Raw genomic sequence first — 18,795 nt, 5'->3', positions numbered from 1 at the left:
GGCTTCGGGACTCTAATGAAGAGAAGCGCCGTGGGCACCCGGGACGTCTCCGTGCAGCACAGCACACAGTTCCTCAGTGCCTCAGACGAACAAGTTACCTGACACACACAGCCCGGGGCAGGCCACGCGTCTCTTCCGACCCGGGGCAGGCCACGCGTCTCTTCCGACCCGGGGCAGGCCATGCGTCTCTTCCGACTCGGCAGTCTTCCCGTGGCACTCATCAATCCTAACACATCAAAGAAACCTAATCATTTCCTTAACATCTTTTTTCTTTTTACTTTTTTTTTTCGATAGAGACCTCTGTCATGCAGGCTGGAGGGCAGTGGTGTGATCACAGCTCACTGCAGCCTTGACCTCCTTGGCTCAAGAGATCCTCCCGTCTCAGCCAGGTGCGGTGGCTCATGCCTGTAATCCCAGCACTTTGGGAGGCTGAGGCAGGTAGATCACGAGGTCAGGAGATCGAGACCATCCTGGCTAACAGGGTGAAACCCTGTCTCTACTAAAAATACAAAAAATTAGCCAGGCGTGGTGGTGGGCACCTGTAGTCCCAGCTACTCGGGAGGCTGAGGCAGGAGAGTGGCGTGAACCCGGGAGGCGGAGCTTGCAGTGAGCCGAGATTGTACCACTGCACTCTAGCCTGGGCAACAGAGCGAGACTCCGTCTCAAAAAAAAAAAAAAAAAAAGAGATCCTCCTGCCTCAGCCTCCCAAGTAGCTGGGACCACAAGCGCATGCCACCACACCCCACCTTGTACCTAATTATTTCAAATACCTCTCTTTTTATAAGAAAAAAATTTTGTGATTTTCCAGGGAACTTCTAGGACATCTCATAGATCATTTTAAATATAAAAGGTCTCCTGGGGCTGGGCACAGTGGCTCACACCTGTAATCCCAGCACTTTGGGAGGCCGAGGCAGGTGGATCACGAGGTCAAGAGATCAAGACCATCCTGGCCAACAAGGTGAAACCCCGCGTCTACTAAAAATACAAAAATTAGCCAGGCATGGTGGCGGGTGCCTGTAATCCCAGCTACCCGGGAGGCTGAGGAAGGAGAACCGCTTGAACCAAGAAGTCAGAGGTTGCAGTGAGCCGAGATTGCGCCACTGCACTCCAGCCTGGCGACACAGCGAGACTCCATCTCAAAAAAAAAAAAAAGAAAAGTCTCCTGAAAGCTTTATTTTATTTGACATTTAGAATTCAATTTTGAGAAGGAAAAAAAAATGTCAGGAGATTTGAACATTAAGACTCATGGGTACCTGAGAAATAATATTTAGCTACCCACGTGAAAGTGACAAAAAGCTTAAACATAGGAGAGAACAGTTATAGAGAAACTTAGCTCTTTCATAAGCATGGGAAGCTTTGTTTTCTGAAACCATCAAGACATAATAAGTCAACAAAAGCACGGAAAATTACCCTGGTAAGACAGCACCTTTGCTGTCTGAACAGATTACATAGAAAGTAAAGAATAACCCTTCATAGTTTAGGGGAAGTCAATAAATAGTAAACGAAGGAAGGCTGGGTGCAGTGGCTCACGCCGGTAATCCCAGCACTTCGGGAGGCCGAGGTGGGCGGATCATAGGATGCTTGCAGGAGTTCAAGACCAGCCTGGCCAACACGGTGAAACCCCTTGTCTACTAAAAATACAAAAATTAGCCGGGCATGGTGGCAGGTGCCTGTAATCCAAGCTACTGAAGAGGCTGAGGCGGGAGAATTGCTTGAACCTGGGAAGTGGAGGTTGCAGTGAGCCAACATCACACCACTGCACTCCATCCAGCCTGGATGACAGAGCAAGACTCTGTCTCAAAAAAAAAAAAAAAAAAGTAGTACACCAAGGAAACAAACCCATCAAAATTGGGCTAACTTTGCTAAGATTTTAACACATTTCATGGCTTTTTAAAAAACTAGCTTTCTTTCAACCAAGTAAGGATTGAGAAAACAAGACCTAGCTTTCAGCTGGGTGCAGTGGCTCATGCCTCTAATCCCAGCCCTTTGGGAGGCCAAGGGAGGAGGATCACTTGAGGCTAGGAGTTTGAGACTAACCTGGGCAGAATAGTGACACCCTGTCTCTACTAAAAAACAAAAAACTTGGCTGGGTGTGGTCCCAGCTACTTGGGAGGCTGAGGTGGGAGGATCGCTTGAGCCCAGGAGGTGGAGGCTGCAGTGAGCCGCGATTGCACCACTGCACTCCAGCCTGGGTGACAGAGCAAGACTCTGTCTCAAAAAAACTAGTTTTCTTTTTTTTTTTTTTTTTTTGGTACTATACATATAAAATGTACTGTTGAAAGCTCATGAAGTATACAAAGTATACAGTTCAGTGCATTAAGCACGTCAAGAATGTTGTGCGAGCATCATCATTTGTTCCAGAATTCCTTTCACTTCAGAGGAAACCCCACACTCATTCGCAGTTGCTTCCTGTCCCCCGCCCAGCACCCACATTCTGCCTCCATGCCTTTGCCTGTTCTGGACGTTTCACTTCAGCAGGATCCCACAGGATGTGTCCCTTTGTGCCTGGCTTCTTTCCCTCTGTGTCCTGTTTGAGGGTCCCTCGTGCTGGGGCGTCTGCACTTAATTCCTTTCCATGGGAAGAGCTCTTTGCTGGGGGACAGGCCACTGTAGGCATTTGTCCATCAGTTTGATGGACATTTGGATGGTTTCCGCCTTTGGGCTATTGTGAATAATATTGCTGTGAACATTCAGTTCTCTTGGATGCCTCCCTAGAAGTGGCCTTGCTGGGTCATGTGGGAATTCTGTGTCTAACCTGGTAAGGAGCCACCAAACCGCCTCCCATGCCCACCAGCTGCGCACGAAGGTTCTGATTTCTCCACATCTGCACCAGCACTTGCTATTTTCTGTCGGGGTTTTTTTTAATTAAGAATACTTTTATTGCATATCTTTAAAAACTTTATTTTTTTTATATTTAAAAAAATTTCTTTTAAAAATAGAGGTGGGATCTCACTGTGTTGCCCACGCCAGTATCCAACACCTGACATCAAGGATCCCCCCCACCCGGCCTCCCAGTGTGCTGGGGTTACAGGTGTGAGCCACCGCACCCAGCTGTTTTCTATCCTGTTGATCCCAGCCAACCTAGTGGGTGTGAGGCGGGATCCCATAGTGGGCTTGATTTTACATTCTCCTGGTGACCAATGGTGTTGAGTGTCTTCAGGAGGTTTTTGCCCACACGTGCATCTTCTGACTTCATGGCTTTTAAATTCAGGTGTTTATAAACCAAGGGAAACACGTTCATTTCCAAGTGTCATCTTTGGGTTCTTTTATTGCGTAGAAGAAACTGATGCTTTACTTGAGGGCCCATCTCGGGATGTCCACAGGGCAGAGCTAATCCTGCGATGCTCCTCAGATGTTGATCATAAGCAATATGTTCATCATGGCTAACTTCAAGTTAATTGATAAAAAAGCTTTAAAATTTTTCTGTTTTGACCAGGCACATGGCTCACACCTGTATTCCCAGCACTTTGGGAGGCCAAGGCGGGCAGATCACCTGAGGTCGGGAATTCGAGACCAGCCTGACCAACATGGAGAAACCCCGTCTCTACTAAAAATACAAAATTAGCCGGGCGTGGTGGCGCATGCCTGTAATCCCAGCTACTTGGGAGGCTGAGGCAGGAGAATTGCTTGAACCCAGGAGGTGGATGTTCTGGGGGTGTCGAGATCGCGCCACTGCACTCCAGCCTGGGGGACAAGAGCGAAACTCCATCTCAAAAAAAAAAATGTCTGTTTCAATTTCCAATATGTGAAATGTCAACAGTTATAAACACCCTCCAAAAACCTTGTTGGAATCCTCAGTGAGTTTAACGAAACTGATTTGTAATCCTGGGAAATGTTATTTCAGTAATTATGTCTTCTGATGTGTCTGCTTAGAGAAGGAGCAGATCTTTACATAACATAACATGAATGGAATTGATGAAAGGATCTCGTTTGATGTGGGGTCATTTCTAAGTAAGCTAGCATGCCGAAGCTTTGAGTAGAACCATCATTTTTAAGTTGTTATACTTAAGCTTTTGCTTCTTTTGTTTGTTTGTTTGCTTGCTTTTTGAGATGGAGTTACCCAGGATGGAGTGCAGTGGCATGATCTCGGCTCGCTGCAACCTCTGCCTCCCGGGTTCAAGCAATTCTTCTGCCTCAGCCTCCCGAGTAGCTGGGATTACAGGTGCCCACCACCACGCCCAGCTAATTTTTGTATTTTTAGTAGAGACGGAGTTTCACCATGTTGGCCAGGCTGATCTCGAACTCCTGGCCTCAAGTGAGCAACCTGCCTCAGCCTCCCAAAGTGCTGGGATTACAGACGTGAGCCTCCGCACCTGGCAAGTTTTTGCTTCTTCTTTGTGCCTGCCACAGAAAGGGCGTCTGGGTGCTTCTGTTAGCGAATGTGCTTGCTGCCCCCGCTGTGAGGACAGCAAGGGCTGTGTGTGGCAGGGGCGTGGCATTGTGTGTGCAAGAGCTCTACCGAAATGCTGTGTGTCACAGTTCACTGTTGTCCGGCCCTCCCCAAGTTCTCGATGTAATGGAAGTTACTTTGGTTTTGAAAAGGAACATGCTGTTCTTTCTGAGTGTTTGCATTCAACACAAGAGGAATCCAGAAGTGATGCACAGAGAACAAACTCTGTCCCCATCCCATTCCCAGGGTGGCTGTTGCACCACGCCCTCCCTCCTGCCCCTGAGGCCCGGAAGCCAGGCGAGGAGCCCAGGAGGCCTTTGGATCGCAGCCCACCTTTGGGACAGGTGCAGCCCCATTTTACATCTCAGGTAACACCCCTTCATCTAAGACATGCATTTTTAAAAATATTTCCCTAATTGTGTCGTTTTCATTACAGAAACTTCAGATTACAATAAACACAATATAAAAAGCCTCCAATTTTCAGGATCCAGATATAGTTATTAGTAACATTTCAATGTGTTTTCTGCTGGGTTTTTGTTTTGTTTTGGTTTGGTTTTGGTTCTCATTTGTTTGTTTGTTTTTTGAGACAGTCTTGCTCTGTTGCCCAGGCTTGAGTGCAGTGGTGCAATCTCGGCTCACTACAACCTCCCCCTCCCGGTTCAAGCAATTCTCCTGAGTCAGCCTTCCGAGTTGCTGGGATTACAGGCATGCACCAACACGCCTGACTAATTTTTGTATTTTTAGTAGAGATGGGGTTTTACCATATTGGCCAGGCTGGTTTCAAACTCCTGACCTCAGGTGATCCACCCGCCTCTGCCTCCCAAAGTGCTGGGATTACAGGCATGAACCACCGCGCCCAGCCCCCATTTTTTTTTATTTTTTCATTACAAATTGTATCATGTATATGTTTTACTATAGCTTTACATATCTGGGTACTATTTTTTTAATCTGGTATGATAAGTGAAAAAAAAACCAAAAACTTCTATTTTTTTTTTTTTTTTTTTTTTTTGAGACAGGGCCTGGCTCTGTCACCCAGAACCCAAAAACTTCTTTTTTTTTTGTCCTTTGAGACAGGGCCTGGCTCTGTCACCCAGGCTGGAGTGCAGTGGTGCAATCACAGCTCACTGCAGCCTCGGCTTCCTAGGCTCAAGTGATCCTCCCACCTCAGCCTTCCAAGTAGCTGGGACCACAGGTGTGTACCACCATGCCTAATGGCTAATTTTTATATTTTTTGTTTAAATGGAGTTTTGCCATGTTGCCCAGGCTGGTCTTGAACTCCTGGGCTCAAGCGATCTGCCCACCATGGCCTCTCAAAGTACTGGGATTATGGGCATGAGTCAGTGCACCCAGCCACAACTTGTATCTTTAAAAAGATAGCAAGATGGCCAGGTGCGGTGGCTCACGCCTATAATCCCAGCACTTTGGGAGGCCGAGGCGGGTGGATCATGAGGTCAAAAGTTTGAGACCAGCCTGACCAACATGGTGAAACCCCGTCTCTACTAAAAATACAAAAATTAGCCGGGCATGGTGGCACTCGCCTGTAATCCCAGCTGCTGGGGAGGCTGAGGCAGGAGAATTGCTTGAACCCAGGAGGCAGAGGCTGCAGTGAGCCGAGATGGCACCACTACACTCCAGCCTGGGCGACAGAGCAAGACTCCGTCTCAAAAAAAAAAAAAAAAAAGCAAGGTTGTCTCTACAGAAAGATAAAAATAAAAATAAATTACCCATTTGTGGTAGTCCACACCTTGTAATCCCAGACTCAGGAGGTTGAGGTGAGAGGACTGCTTGAGCCCAGGAGTTCAAGACCCGCCAGAGCAACACAGCGAGACCCCGTCTCTACCAAAAAACAAAGAAGGAAGGAAATTTCTTATATCCTTAGTGGCATTAAATGCTTTAATCTATTTATTGGCCATTTATAGTTCTTCTTCTGTGGGTGATTTATGTGTGTTCCTTGCTAATTTTCCGTAACCTCAGAGCCAGTCCCGAATTCCCACTGCATCTGGCTCTTGTGTTTTCATCCTTTAACCCAGAACACTCCCTCCGCCTTTCCGTGTCTTTTTGAAAAGTCAGGCAGTGTTTTGTAGACTGTGGATCTGTCTCATGTTGCAGCCTTGAGAAGTTCAGCTTCTGCATTGATTTTGGGGTTTTCTACACAGTTCCAATGAGTTGTCTGTTCCTGAAATGGTACTATACCGCTTTAAATACTGTGGCTTTGTGACCTATTTTAATATCTGTTAGAGCAAGCTTGACCTTATTTCTGTTCCTTTACAAAATTTTCTTGGCTATCCTTTCTTATTTATTCTTTTTTTTTTTTTTTTTTTTGAGACAGAGTCTCGCTCTGTCACCCAAGGCTGGAGTGCAGTGGCGTAATTTGGGCTCACTGCAACCTCCGCCTCCCGAGTTCACGCCATTCTCCTGCCTCAGCCTCCCAAGTAGCTAGGATTACAGGCGCCCGCCAGCATGCCTGGCCTTATTTTTTGTATTTTTTGTAGAGATAGGGTTTCGCCATGTTGCCCAGGCTGGCCTTGGATTCCTGAACTCAAGTGATCCTCCTGCCTCAGCCTCCCAAAGTGCTGGGATTACAGGCATAAGAAATAACTCTTAAAACTGAGAAAAGAAAACTCTATGGAGCCAAGACTGCTTTGTGTTTCCTTTTTTATTTCTTTTTAAAATGTATTTATTTATATTTGAGACAGGGTCTTGCTCTGTCGCCCAGGCTGGAGTGCAGTGGCACAGTCTCGGCTTATTGCAACGTCTGTCTCCCAGGCTCAAGTGATCTTTCCACCTCAGCCTCCCAAGTAGCTGGGACTACAGGCATGCACCACCACGCCTGGCTAATTTTTGTTTGTTTGTTTGTTTTTTAATAGAGACAGGGTTTCACCGTGTCACTCAGGCTGGTCTCAAACTCCTGGACTGAAGCAATTTGCCCACCTCTGCCTCCCAAATGCTGGGATTACAGGCGTGAGCCACCAGGCCCGGCATGTATTTATTTTATTTATTTATTCATTATGAGATGGAGTCTCACTTTGTCGCCCAGGCTAGACTGCAGTGGTGTGGTCTTGACTCACTGCAACCTCTGCCTCCCAGGTTCAAGCGATTCTCCTGCCTCAGCCTTCTGAGCAGCTGGGATTACAGGCACACACCACCAGACACAGTTAATTTTTGTATTTTTGATAGAGACGAGGTTTTGCCATGTTGCCCAGGCTGGTCTCGAACTCCTGACCTCAAGTAATCCACCTGTCTCAGCCTCCCAAAGTGCTGGGATTACAGGTGTGAGCTAACACACCTGGCCTACATTTATTTTTCTTTTAAAAAAAATGTGGCCAGTATTTGGGCCCAGTGGCTCATGCCTGTAATCCCAGCACTTTGGGAGGCCGAGACGGGTGGATCACCTGAGGTCAGGAGTTCAAGACCAGCCTGGGCAACATGGCAAAACCTCGTCTCTACCAAAAATATAAAAAATTAGCCAGGCATGGTGGCAGGCACCTGTAATCCCAGCTACTCGGGAGGCTGAGCCAGGAGAATCACTTGAACCTAGGAGGCAGAGGTTGCAGTGAGCTGAGATAGTGCCATTGTGCTCCAGCCTGGGTGACAGAGTGAGACTCCGTCCCCCACCCCCACCCCCCCAAAAAAAAGGAGCTGGGCGTGGTGGCTCACACCAGTGATCCCAGCCACTTTGGGAGGCTGAGGCGGGCAGATCATCTGAGGTCAGGAGTTCGAGACCAGCCTGGCCAACATGATGAAACCCCATCTCTACTAAAAATACAAAAATTAGCCAGTTGTGGTGGCAGGCACCTATAATCCCAGCTACTCGGGAGGCTGAGGCAGGAGAATCGCTTGAACCCAGGAGGTGGAGGTTGCAGTGAGCCAAGATTGTACCACTGCACTCCAGCCTAGGTGATAAAGCAAGACTCCATCTCAAAAAAAAAAAAAAAAAAAAAGTTTTGTCTGGGTGTGGTGGCTCACGCCTGTAATCCCAGCACTTTTTGGGGCCAAGGCGAGCAGATTACTTGAGGTCAGGAGTTCGAGACCAGCCTGGCCAATTTGGCAAAACTCCATCTCTACTGAAAAATACAAAACTTAGTCGGGCATGGGGGTGGGCATCTGTAATCCCAGCTACTCGGAAGGCTGAGGCAGGAGAATCACTTGAACCCAGGAGGCGGAGGTTGCAGTGAGCTGAGATCACGCCACTGCACTCCAGCCTGGGCAACAGAGCAAGACTGTGTCTCAAAAAAAAATGTTTTGAGACAGGGTCTCTGCTCCCCAGGCTGGAGTGCCATGATGACATCACAGCTCACTGCAGCCTGGTCCTCCCAGGCTCACATTATCTTCCCACCTCAGCCTCCGTAGTAGCTGAGACCACAGGTGTGTGCCATCACACCTGTCTAATTTTTAATTTTTTTTTGTACAGATAGGGGGTCTCAATATGTTACCCAGGCTGATCTTAAACTCCTGGAGTCAAGGGATTCTTCCACCTCGGCCTCCCAAAGTGCTAGGGTTACAGGTGTGAGCTACCGCGCCCAGCCTAATTTTTTATTTATTTATTTTTTGAGACAGAGTTTCGCTCTGTTGCCCAGGCTGGAGTACAGTGGTGTGATCCAGGCTCACTGGAACCTAGAACTCTGGGCTCCAGTGATCCTCCTGCCTCAGCCTCCCAAGGGGTTCCTCTGTATTTTTAATAGTAAATGGTGCCATATGAGAAGAAATAAGATACAAATACAGAAAAGAACTCCTACAGATCAATAAGAAAAAGACAAATCACCCTGTGACAAACAGGCAAAGGGTCTGATCAGAAGGTACTGGGGACGAAGCCCGGGGGGCAGTGAGCATCAGGCTGTGCCCGTGATCACTGGCATCAGGGACCTTACATCAGACCTCATGCATGTGCATTCCTCGGGTGAACAGGCAAACGTTGGTAAACATGGGCCAAGTACACTCTGCATCCACTGTTGTGGGCACACTCATGGTGTGCCTGGGAAGGGGCAGGGCTGGGCTCGTTCCACAGCCTCCTTGCAGGCCATCTATTGTCCATGGCTCTGTACAGGTCCCACTGCTTTGAATTTCCCTTTCTGTTTTCCTCCATGTTTCCTTTCCATGTTCTTAGGGTTTGCTCCCTAGTGCCCCCTTTTGGCTTCCTTTCCACAGTCTTCCCTCCAGAAGGGGGGAGACATCAGGCATGGGGCGGGCAGAGGCACCAGTGATGGGTTCAAGAAGCAGGATCAGGTCAGGCGTGGTGGCTCACACCTGTGATCCCAGCACTTTGGGAGGCCAAGGCAGGCGGATCACCTGAGGTCAGGTGTTCAAGACCAGCCTGGCTAATATGGTGAAACCCTGTCTCTACTAAAAATATAAAAACTAGCCGGGCATGGTGGTGGGTGCCTGTCATCCCAGCTACTTGGGAGGCTGAGACAGGAGAATCACTTGAACCCAGGAGGCGGAGGTTGCAGTGAGCCGAGATCACGCCACTGTACTCCAGCCTGGGAGACAGAGCAAGACTCCGTCTCAAAAAAAAAAAAAACAAAAAAGCAGGATCGGCCAGGTGGTGTCACTGGGGGCCACTCGTGTCCATCTTGGGCCGGGGGGCTCTCACCCCAGGCAGGCCATGCATAGGCTGCCCTGGCCTTGCAGAGAAGGCTCCTGGGAATGAATGACTGGGGAAGCCTGCTCCATTCCTCCTGTCTGGGAAACAGGTCCCTTCAGTCCGGGCTGTCACCAAATGGTGTGAGTCTTTAATACCAGAAATGTGGGAAGGCATTTCTTCCCAATCTTGTGGGAAAACTCACTGACATGCACCATCAGTACATGTGAATACCAGAGTCCTCTCATTTAAATCCCCACGGCAGGACGCCAAGAGTGCCGAGGATGAGGCTCCTTCCAGACACTTGGGAAAGCACCAGCCCCGCTCAGCACAGGTGGGCAGCAGACTTGACGCCCTGCAAGGCCCGAAGGTGAGAGTGGCGGCGCCCGAGCAAGTGCAGCTGTGTGGGGTGTGGCCAGCAGGGAAGCCGGGGCCTGGGTGCTCTGGGCCTCTCGGAGGGGCCTTCGCTCTGCATGCCTGCCTTTGTGCCGTCATCAGGGACTGCTCACAATGGCAGGGTGAGCTGCAGAGCGTTTGCCGGGTGGTCCCACAAGGGTGGTAAGAGTGTTAGGAGGGCCCCGGGACCCCTAAAGCACATGGGGCCCACGCTGGCCTTTCCTTTCTGTGCCCCTCAGGGTATCTGCCCTGCATTTCAGCTCATTCCCCATCGAAACGAAACAGCCTCTGCCCTAGACATGTTTTGTCATTTAAGTGTTGAGACGAGCACTGAGATTCAGGCCCTGCCCACACTCAGCGTTCCCAGCGCTGAGACTCGCTCCCCGGATGCATCCCTGTCTGCAGCTGCCTCTCCTGGGTGATCCTGGGAGCATCTGCCTGGGCCTTTAAGCCAGGCCCACTGTCGCCTTACTGCTCCGAGGGGAGTGGTTGGGGGGAGTCCTGTGGCTTCCTCTGGGTTGGAGAGGGTGGCTTTCAAGACGATGATGTCTTTTCTAGACACAACACAGCATCCACACGGTGACCTGTAAATCACCTCGGCAGAAAGAAGACAGGTCCCCAAAGCCACCCCAGGCTCCCCAGCACCCTGAGGAGCATGGTCGCCAATCCCACAGCTCCTCCTCCTTTGCCAGTGGCACCCTCCAGGACATGTGGAGGTTGCTAGACCTGGGATCCAGCCCTTCTGGTGTCACCTCCCAGGGTGACTCAACTCCAGGTAGGAGACTGCCCTCCCCAGGAGCTGCCCACAGCTGGCAGCTGGCGAGGGCCACCCTCTCCGAGGGGCATGTGGAGAGTCAGCACCCTGCGTGCCTCCTGCACCCTGAAATCCCTGCACTTTGGTTGAGTAATGCATGGAGTCTCTTTACCTCTCATTTGGCACCTGAGTGTTTCCCGGGTTATGGTGCAAAGCCCTGAAGGGCAGAAACCATGCCATTTCCTAGTGCAGCACCGTACACCCGGGCGCACACTGACTTAGAATGCAGCACCGTACACCCGGGCGCAGGCTGACTTAGAATGGAGCACTGTACACCCGGGCGCAGGCTGACTTAGAATGGAGCCCAGGTGAGACGCGTGGGCATTGGTGCACTTTAGACGGCCCTGCTCCTGGGGAAGAGCCAGGTCGACCCCAGCGATGCTCCCGGGGAAGAGCCAGGCCGACCCCAGTGATGCTCAGCCTCACGGGCCAGACAAGTGTCAGCCGCATCCTCATCCTCGTCCTGCTTTGCTGCGCGGACGTTGCCGCCCTGAGACTCTTCTCTGCACCTAAGTCATAGGCCTGGTAAACTCAGCAGGTCACAGTGCCAGCTCCTGCTACTGGTCTCAGGAAGTTTTCAGAAAAGTCTGTTTGAAGGGTGCACCTTGTGAGGACTGCATGGGTCTGTGATGTAGCGAGAAGGGGGGAGGGAAACAGATGCTGCTTCGAGGCAGCTGGAGTTGCGGGACGTGTGATGTGGTTGGGGCGGGAGCGTGCGTCCTTCCTGTGTGCCTGCATGGAGGGCGTCCCCTTCTTACCTTACAGCTTCTGTCTTCCGTCATGAGGGTGTGCCTCATTCATTTAATCATTCTCTCCTTCATGCGCATTTTAGGCTATTTCCAGTCCTTTACCGTCACAGATACTGTTAGAATAGTAACCTTACAGGCTGCAGTGTGTGTGAAAACACACGTGTACGTGCCCCAGGGGCTTGCGTAGTCAAGGCTGCCCGCGTGCCACGTGTGGTGGACAGCATCGCCTCAGCCTCCGCCACCCACCCAGAGGCTGCTCCCAGCAGCAGTGTCTGAGAGTCCTGTAGCCACACGGAACTTTTGCCGGTGGCAGCAGGATTGGCATCAGCGCCTCTGCTGGGAGGTCGTGCATCTTCGTGTGTGTTTAGGAGCCACTTCCTTTCCCTGTTCTTCAGTTACCTGCCCATTTGTGTATTAGATTGTGGTCTTTCTTATTGATTTGTAGCAGCTCATTATATGTGATAGAAATTAGGCCTTTTCGGTGACAACAATTTAAATGTTTTCTCCCAGTTCTTCATGTTTTTAAATGTTTATTATGGTGTTTTTTTATGTTCATATTTTTTATTTTTATGTAATTTAATGTCCTTGTTTTTTATCTTGTCTGTTTTTTTTTTTTTTCCTTTGAGATGGAGTTTTGCTCTTGTTGCTCGGGCTGGAGTGCAATGGCGCAATCTCAGCTCACTGCAAGCTCCTCCTCCCGGGTTCAAATGATTCTCCTGCCTCAGCCTCCCCAGTAGCTGGAGCTACAGGCACCCGCCACCACTCCAGGCTAATTTTGTATTTTTAGTAGAGACGGGGTTTCACAATGCTGGGCTGGCTCGTCTCGAACTCCTGACCTCAGTTGATCCGCCCACCTCGGCCTCCCAGAGTGCTGGGATTACAGGGGTGAGCCACCGTGCCTGGCCAGAACCACTTCTTATTAACCCCCAAAGTGGCAACGGCTCCCAGTTTTCCATCGCTCACACTTCCCGCATATTCGGACTCCCACCTTTGTCATGGTGCTAAATGTTCCATGTGCTTTTGGAGCTATATCCGGACGGTTCGTTCGGCCACTCTCAGTCTGTTCACAGGCAGTTCCATTGGGTCAGAATCAGTGTCACTTCCTGGTCCTTTTACATGTCTGGCTGATGTAGGATCTCCTCTTTATCCTTCTCTCTCAGGGTTTTCTTGGTTATTTGCATGTATTTGTTTTTTCTTTTTTCTTTCTTTTTAAATTTAGTAGAGAGAGGACTGGAGGCAGTGGCTCGTGCCTATAATCTCAGCACTTTGGGAGGCTAAGGCAGGTGGATCAGTTGAGGTCAGGAGTTCAAGACCAGCCTGGCCAACATGGTGAAACCCCGTCTCTACTAAAAATACAAAAATTCACTGGGCCTGGTGGCGCATGCCTGTAATCCCAGCTACTTGGGAGGCTGAGGCATGAGAATCACTTGAACCTGGGAGGTGGAGGTTGTAGGGAGCTGAGATTGTACCACTGCACTCCAGTCTGGGTGACGGAATGAGACTCTGCCTCAAAAAAAAAAAAAAATTTAGTAGAGATGGTGTCTCCCTATGTTGCCCAGGCTGATCTCAAATTCCTGGGCTCAAGCGATCCTCCCGCTTCAGCCTCCCAAAGTGCTGAGACTGCAGGCGTGAGTCACCATGCCCGGCCTTTTTTGTATATAATTTTTAGACTTGGCTTGTCTGAGTCTGGTTCCCCCAGCCCCTCCCCACAAACACTATTGTAAGTGTTCTTAGGATTGACGCAGCTTCCCTTCTGCCTTAGGAAGGAATGGGGTTGTGTGGCTTCCGTTCCCCGTGTGCTCCAGTGCTGGCATCACGAATGTGGCGCGTTTCTCTCTGTCTTCCACGCAGCCGCGTCCCACTCCGTCTTCCTGACCCTCCCACCTGCACTCCATGGCTCTCCTCTGTGCTCAGGATTCTTAGGGGCACCGCCTCCTTGCATTTTTAATTCACCACAAAACATTTTGTCCAAATTTTCATCAACTCAATGGAAAGTTCTTCTGGAGACGTTCGTGTTCATTCGTTTGCTTGTTTCCTTTCTCCTTTTCTCTTGGAGCACTTTCGTTTCTTGGCTCCCCCCTCATTTTTTTTTTCTTTTTCTCTTTTTAGAGACAGTGTCCCATTCTGTCACCGAGGCTGGAGTGCAGTGCGGCAATCTCAGCTCACTGCAGCCTTGACCTCTTGGGCTCAAGTGATTCTCCCACCTCAGCCTCCCAAGTAGCTGGGACCACAGGGACACGCCACCACGCTCAGCTAAGATTGTTTTAGTTTTTTGTAGGTACAAGGTGTCGCTCTGTTGCCCAGGCTGGTCTCGAACTCCTGGGCTCAAGTGATCCTCCCACCTTACGCTCTCAAAGTGCTGGGATTACGGGCATGAGCCACCGTGCCTGGCCTCATCTTTAGAACAGGTAAATTTTTACTTGACTAGCTATTTGAAAAAGTTTGTATGGAAAATGAAGCCAGAACCATCTTCCAGCCCAGCAGAGTCGTGTCGTTGATTTTAGCTTTAAATACAAGTCTCCACCTATCAGGCTTTTAACAGCTGATACAGCTTCTCTCTTCCCTTTCCCCACAGATACTGCACTTTGCAGATAGGGCCTGTTCTGTTCCTGGTTCACTCTCCCTCCTCTCTTCCAGGAACGGAACAAGGTCAGGGAAGCACTTGCTGCCAGCCCATGTTCCTACTCCTGAAACAAGGAATTAGGTCCTACCCTCAGGGTGTACCCTTGCCTTAGAGAAATGCCCTCTGCTCTTTCTGGGGTCTGTAACGAGGCATCTGTATGTCTTTGACACAGCCCTTGCCGAGTTCCTGCAGCCTTTGGTAGCCCCCGCCACCACCACCAATTCTAGCTCTTAGTTTTAATGAAAATGAAGTTTGCATTTTTGCTTTTCATTATCTTTTTTTTTTTTTTTTTTTTTTTGCTTTTGGATGATTTACAAGGATAGTGGAGGAGTGCTAGCTTCATGATGCCTTCTTCAAGTCTGAAATCTGTCTTGTTTTCTGACCAATGCAGCCAAAGAAATGCATATTCCTCCAAGCGTTGCTTTGCTTTAACCATGTCTCATAAATCTCAACATCCTCATGTTTCCCTTGTCTTTCCCTTGTAGGACTTATAACTCAACTCATTTTGCTTTAACTTAAATGGAATTTTTCCTTAAGTTTCTAGATTTGTGGAATTTTATTTTTTTGTCTGTTACTGATTTCTAATATTTTTACATTCTGGTCAGAGAATTAAATTACTATGATGTTAACTCTTCTGAGAGGGAAATATTAGTTCTTAAACTACAATTATCAATCTATCTGTTTTTGTCAATTGTTGCTTTATGTGTTTTGAGGTTCGCTGTTAGGTGCATACATGTTTAGGTTTTTTGCCTTCTTGATCTTTTCCTCCCTTTACCAGTATGTAACATCCCTCATAACCCCTCATGTTGTATTTCACCAAAAAACCTATTTTGTCTGACATGAAAATTGCTATAGGCCGGGCGGTGGCTCACTCCTGTAATTGCAGCATTTGGGGAGGCTAAAGTGGGAGGATCGCTTGAACTCAGAGGTTCCACACCAGCCTGGACAATGTAGTGAGACATCATCTCAAAAAAAAAAAAAAAAAAAGGGCCGGGCACACTGGTTCATGCCTGTAATCCCAGCACTTTGGGAGACAGAGGCAGGAGGATCACTTGAGCCCAGGAGTTCTAGGCCGCAGTGAGCTGTGATTACACACTGCACTCCAGCCTGGGTGAGAGAGCAAGACCCTGTCTCTACAAAAAAAAAAAAAAAAAAAAAGTTATTAGGAGGGAAGGAGTGGTTAAACTGTGCAGTGGAACGCTACAGGTAGGTCCAGTTAGGTCAGGACAGAGAAGCAGCCCCTGCTTTTTTGCAAGGTGAAGGTCACTGGTGGTCTTAAGTGTGGTCTCAGGGGGGTAGTAGAATTTTCATTCAATCCTTCCCGGCTTGGGGAGAGGATGGGAGATGGGATGGACAACATATCCAAGAAACTTTGCTCTGAAAATCAGCAGTGAAAAGAGGCCGTATTTATGAAGATGTGGAGTCAAGAGGGGAGGCTCACAAGCTGTCATGTAAAGCCTGCCGGTAGGCAGTGGGAAATGGGATGACTCAGGAGAGAAGTCCTGGAGGAGGCAGGGGAAGGGGCTCGGTGCCCGTGTGCAGGGCTGGCCTTTAATAGGACAGAGGCAGAGGTGGGCACCGAAGCCAGAAGGTTGATTGCAGCCAGTGCTGTGCACTTGCCCAGCCTGCAAGCTGACAAGCAAGCCTGGCGGGAGACAGGAGGCTCCTGGGTCAGAGACCAAGGGCTCTGTCCACATAGCAGGCAGCTGGGCAGGCAGTGGCTGCAGGTGCAGTGGGTATGCATCTCAGCTGAGGAACCCAGGCCTGGGGACCGAGTCCTAGAGCGACCACAAGCACCTGCCCTCCGAGTCCTAGAGCAACCACGAGCACCTGCCCTCCGAGTCCTAGAGCGCCACAAGCACCTGCCCTGGGCCTGAGGGAGATGCTTGCTCCGACTTCTGAGCTGCTTGCTGGACAGACGCCCTTGCAAAGGGTCTGCAGCAGTGGCCAGGGCAGCCTCCACCGTGCGGGAGTGCACAGGCCCCAGGGAGGCTGTCCCTGGTCCCAGCAGCTGGCCTGGTGGTGGGAAACGGTTCTGGCAGATTCCTTTCATTTCCTCTTACATGCTCAGCATCCAGGCTGAGAGCCCGAGGCCGGCCACAGGCTCTGAAGGAGGAAGGAGCGGTGTAGGAGGCTTGAGAAAGTGGGTTGTAAAATGGTGGGTTGGCGCCTCAGGAAGCAGATCCGGGAGAGAGTGAAGAGGGCCACCAAGCTCTCTGTGAGACCAGGGAGCTGGTGACCACAGGAGTCACCTGGGGCCGAGGCCGTGCTGCAGGAAGGAGCGTTCCTGACACAGCAGCACACGTCCACCGAGGCTGAGAGTGTGGGTGGCCTGGGAGGGAAGGCGGGCTGGTGTGGATCAGTTAAGATGCTTTTAGCTACAAGTCACAGGACAGGATATGAAAGTGACGTGAACCAGAGCTTCCCGGCCTTTATCTCCTCGTGGTAACTGTGGAAAATGACACGCCTCACTAAAATAAGGAGAGAACTGAGGGGTCCATATCCTGAGTGCCCAAAATGGTCTCAGCAGGCGGCATGCACGGCCCCATGGCAGGACGCGCTGACTGAGGCCCAGGAGCTCATCGGAGCCCTCAGTCCCAGGTCAACGGGCCTCAGGTGGCCCCTCTGGGATTCTCTTTTCTCCTAATGGCTCCGCAATGGCTGCAGACACTCCCACCATCCCCTGAGAAGGCCAAAAGGTGAAGGGCCTCTCTCTCCTGAATCTTTTTCTTTTAATCAGGGAGGGAGAAGCTGCCCAGAGCCCTCAGCAGACCTGCTGTCCATCTCCTGGCTGTGGGGGTCATGTTGCCTCCCTATGACCCGGCTCCAGGCGCCTGTCTTAACAGAGTCTTAGACCCTGAGCCCTGTGAGTGAGGTCATGTCCTCGAGAGCCTGCTGCCTGCAGCTCAGTAGCACTGGGGCCTCTTGGCAGGAAAGCTGGGGAAGCACTGGGGGCCTCAGCAGGTGGAGGAGGTGGCCAGATGCAGGCCCTGCCATGTCCCTGCCTCCCTAGGCTGAGACAGGGTGGCTGGTATTTATTTTTTCTTTATTATTTATTTTAGAAACACGGTCTCACTGTGTTGCACAGACTGGGCTAGAACTCCTGGCCTCAAGCAATCCTCCTGTCCCAGCCTCCTGAGTAGCTGGGATTACAGGCGGGAGCCACCATGCCTGGCAACGGCTGGTATTTCTTAGCATCGGTGTTGCAATTAAAAAGCAAGCAAGAGGCCGGGCGCGGTAGCTCACCCCTGTAATCCCAGCACTTTGGGAGGCCGAGGTGGGTGGATCACTAGGTCAGGAGATCGAGACCATCCTGGCTAACACGGTGAAACCCTGTCTCTACTAAAAATACAAAAAATTAGCCGGGCGTGGTGGCGGACGCCTGTAGTCCTAGCTACTTGGGAGGCTGAGGCAGGAGAGTGCTGTGAACCCGAGAGGCGGAGCTTGCAGTGAGCCGAGGTTGCACCACTGCACTCCAGCCTGGGCGACAGAGTGAGACTCCATCTCAAAAAAAAAAGCAAGCAAGAAAGATACGTTTCAGCATAAGTCCATGGGGCTTTTGATTCACCCTGTGAAGGATTTAGGAAAAGACTAAAGTGGTTCATGCAGTTGAGTTGTTTAATGATCTGCGAAGTATCTTGATGCTTTCCTTGTGTTTTGAATATTTGAGCATGCTTAACTGAATTATCTGTGTGATATTTTTACTTCATGTAAGAATACTTTCCTTAAAACCTTGGAAACTGCGTTGGTGAAGTAAGGGGTGCCACTTAAGGGCACCGGGTTTCTGGTTAAGATGCGACACTGCGCCCTCCAGTGCACCGACACTAGGACAGAGCGCAGCTCGGCAGTCGCTCGCCAGACAAGCAGTCTGAAAGCTCCATTCTAGAAACGGAGAGGAAGTTTCCTCCTCTTTTTTAAACGTGTTCCATGCATTGTGGGTAACAGAGTATGCACACTACACAGTCATGATTGGAGTTTAAAGTAATAATGTTGCCAGGCACAGTGACTCAGCCTGTAAACCCAGCACTTTGGGAGGCTGAGGTGGGCGGATCACTTGAGCCCAGGAGTTCAAGACCAGCCTGGGCAACATCTCTGCAAAAAAAAAATAATAATAATAATAATGAAATGATACTGAAATAGTTAACAATTTAGTGGCATCTAAATTAATGACATGAACGACTATTGTAGGATATGGTGTTTAGTCACGACGTCACACAGCTGTGTTGAACAGCCATACTCCTCTTG

General features: G+C 49.9%; 1 protein-coding gene across 33 annotated transcripts in view; it reads left to right on the top strand.

Annotated features, from left to right (window-relative positions):
* The window catches only part of CCDC57 (coiled-coil domain containing 57), a 111,373-nt gene that overhangs the window by 74,012 nt on the left and 18,566 nt on the right, over nt 1–18,795 (top strand). For 24 of the 33 annotated variants that reach the window (NM_001367828.2, NM_001394669.1, XM_047435774.1 and 21 more), the window contains 3 exons: nt 4,637–4,758; nt 10,234–10,338; nt 10,923–11,139. In NM_001367828.2, coding sequence (NP_001354757.1) covers nt 4,637–4,758; nt 10,234–10,338; nt 10,923–11,139 — 444 coding nt within the window. Of the gene's footprint in view, nt 1–4,636; nt 4,759–10,233; nt 10,339–10,922; nt 12,523–18,795 lie in introns of those variants that run through there. The other 9 variants (XM_047435770.1, XM_017024462.3, XM_047435776.1 and 6 more) reach the window with 5 other exon arrangements.

This window comes from Homo sapiens, chromosome 17, assembly GCF_000001405.40.
Source record: "Homo sapiens chromosome 17, GRCh38.p14 Primary Assembly".
NCBI classification, from domain to species: domain Eukaryota; kingdom Metazoa; phylum Chordata; class Mammalia; order Primates; family Hominidae; genus Homo; species Homo sapiens.
This window is presented reverse-complemented; position numbering and strand designations above follow the sequence as displayed.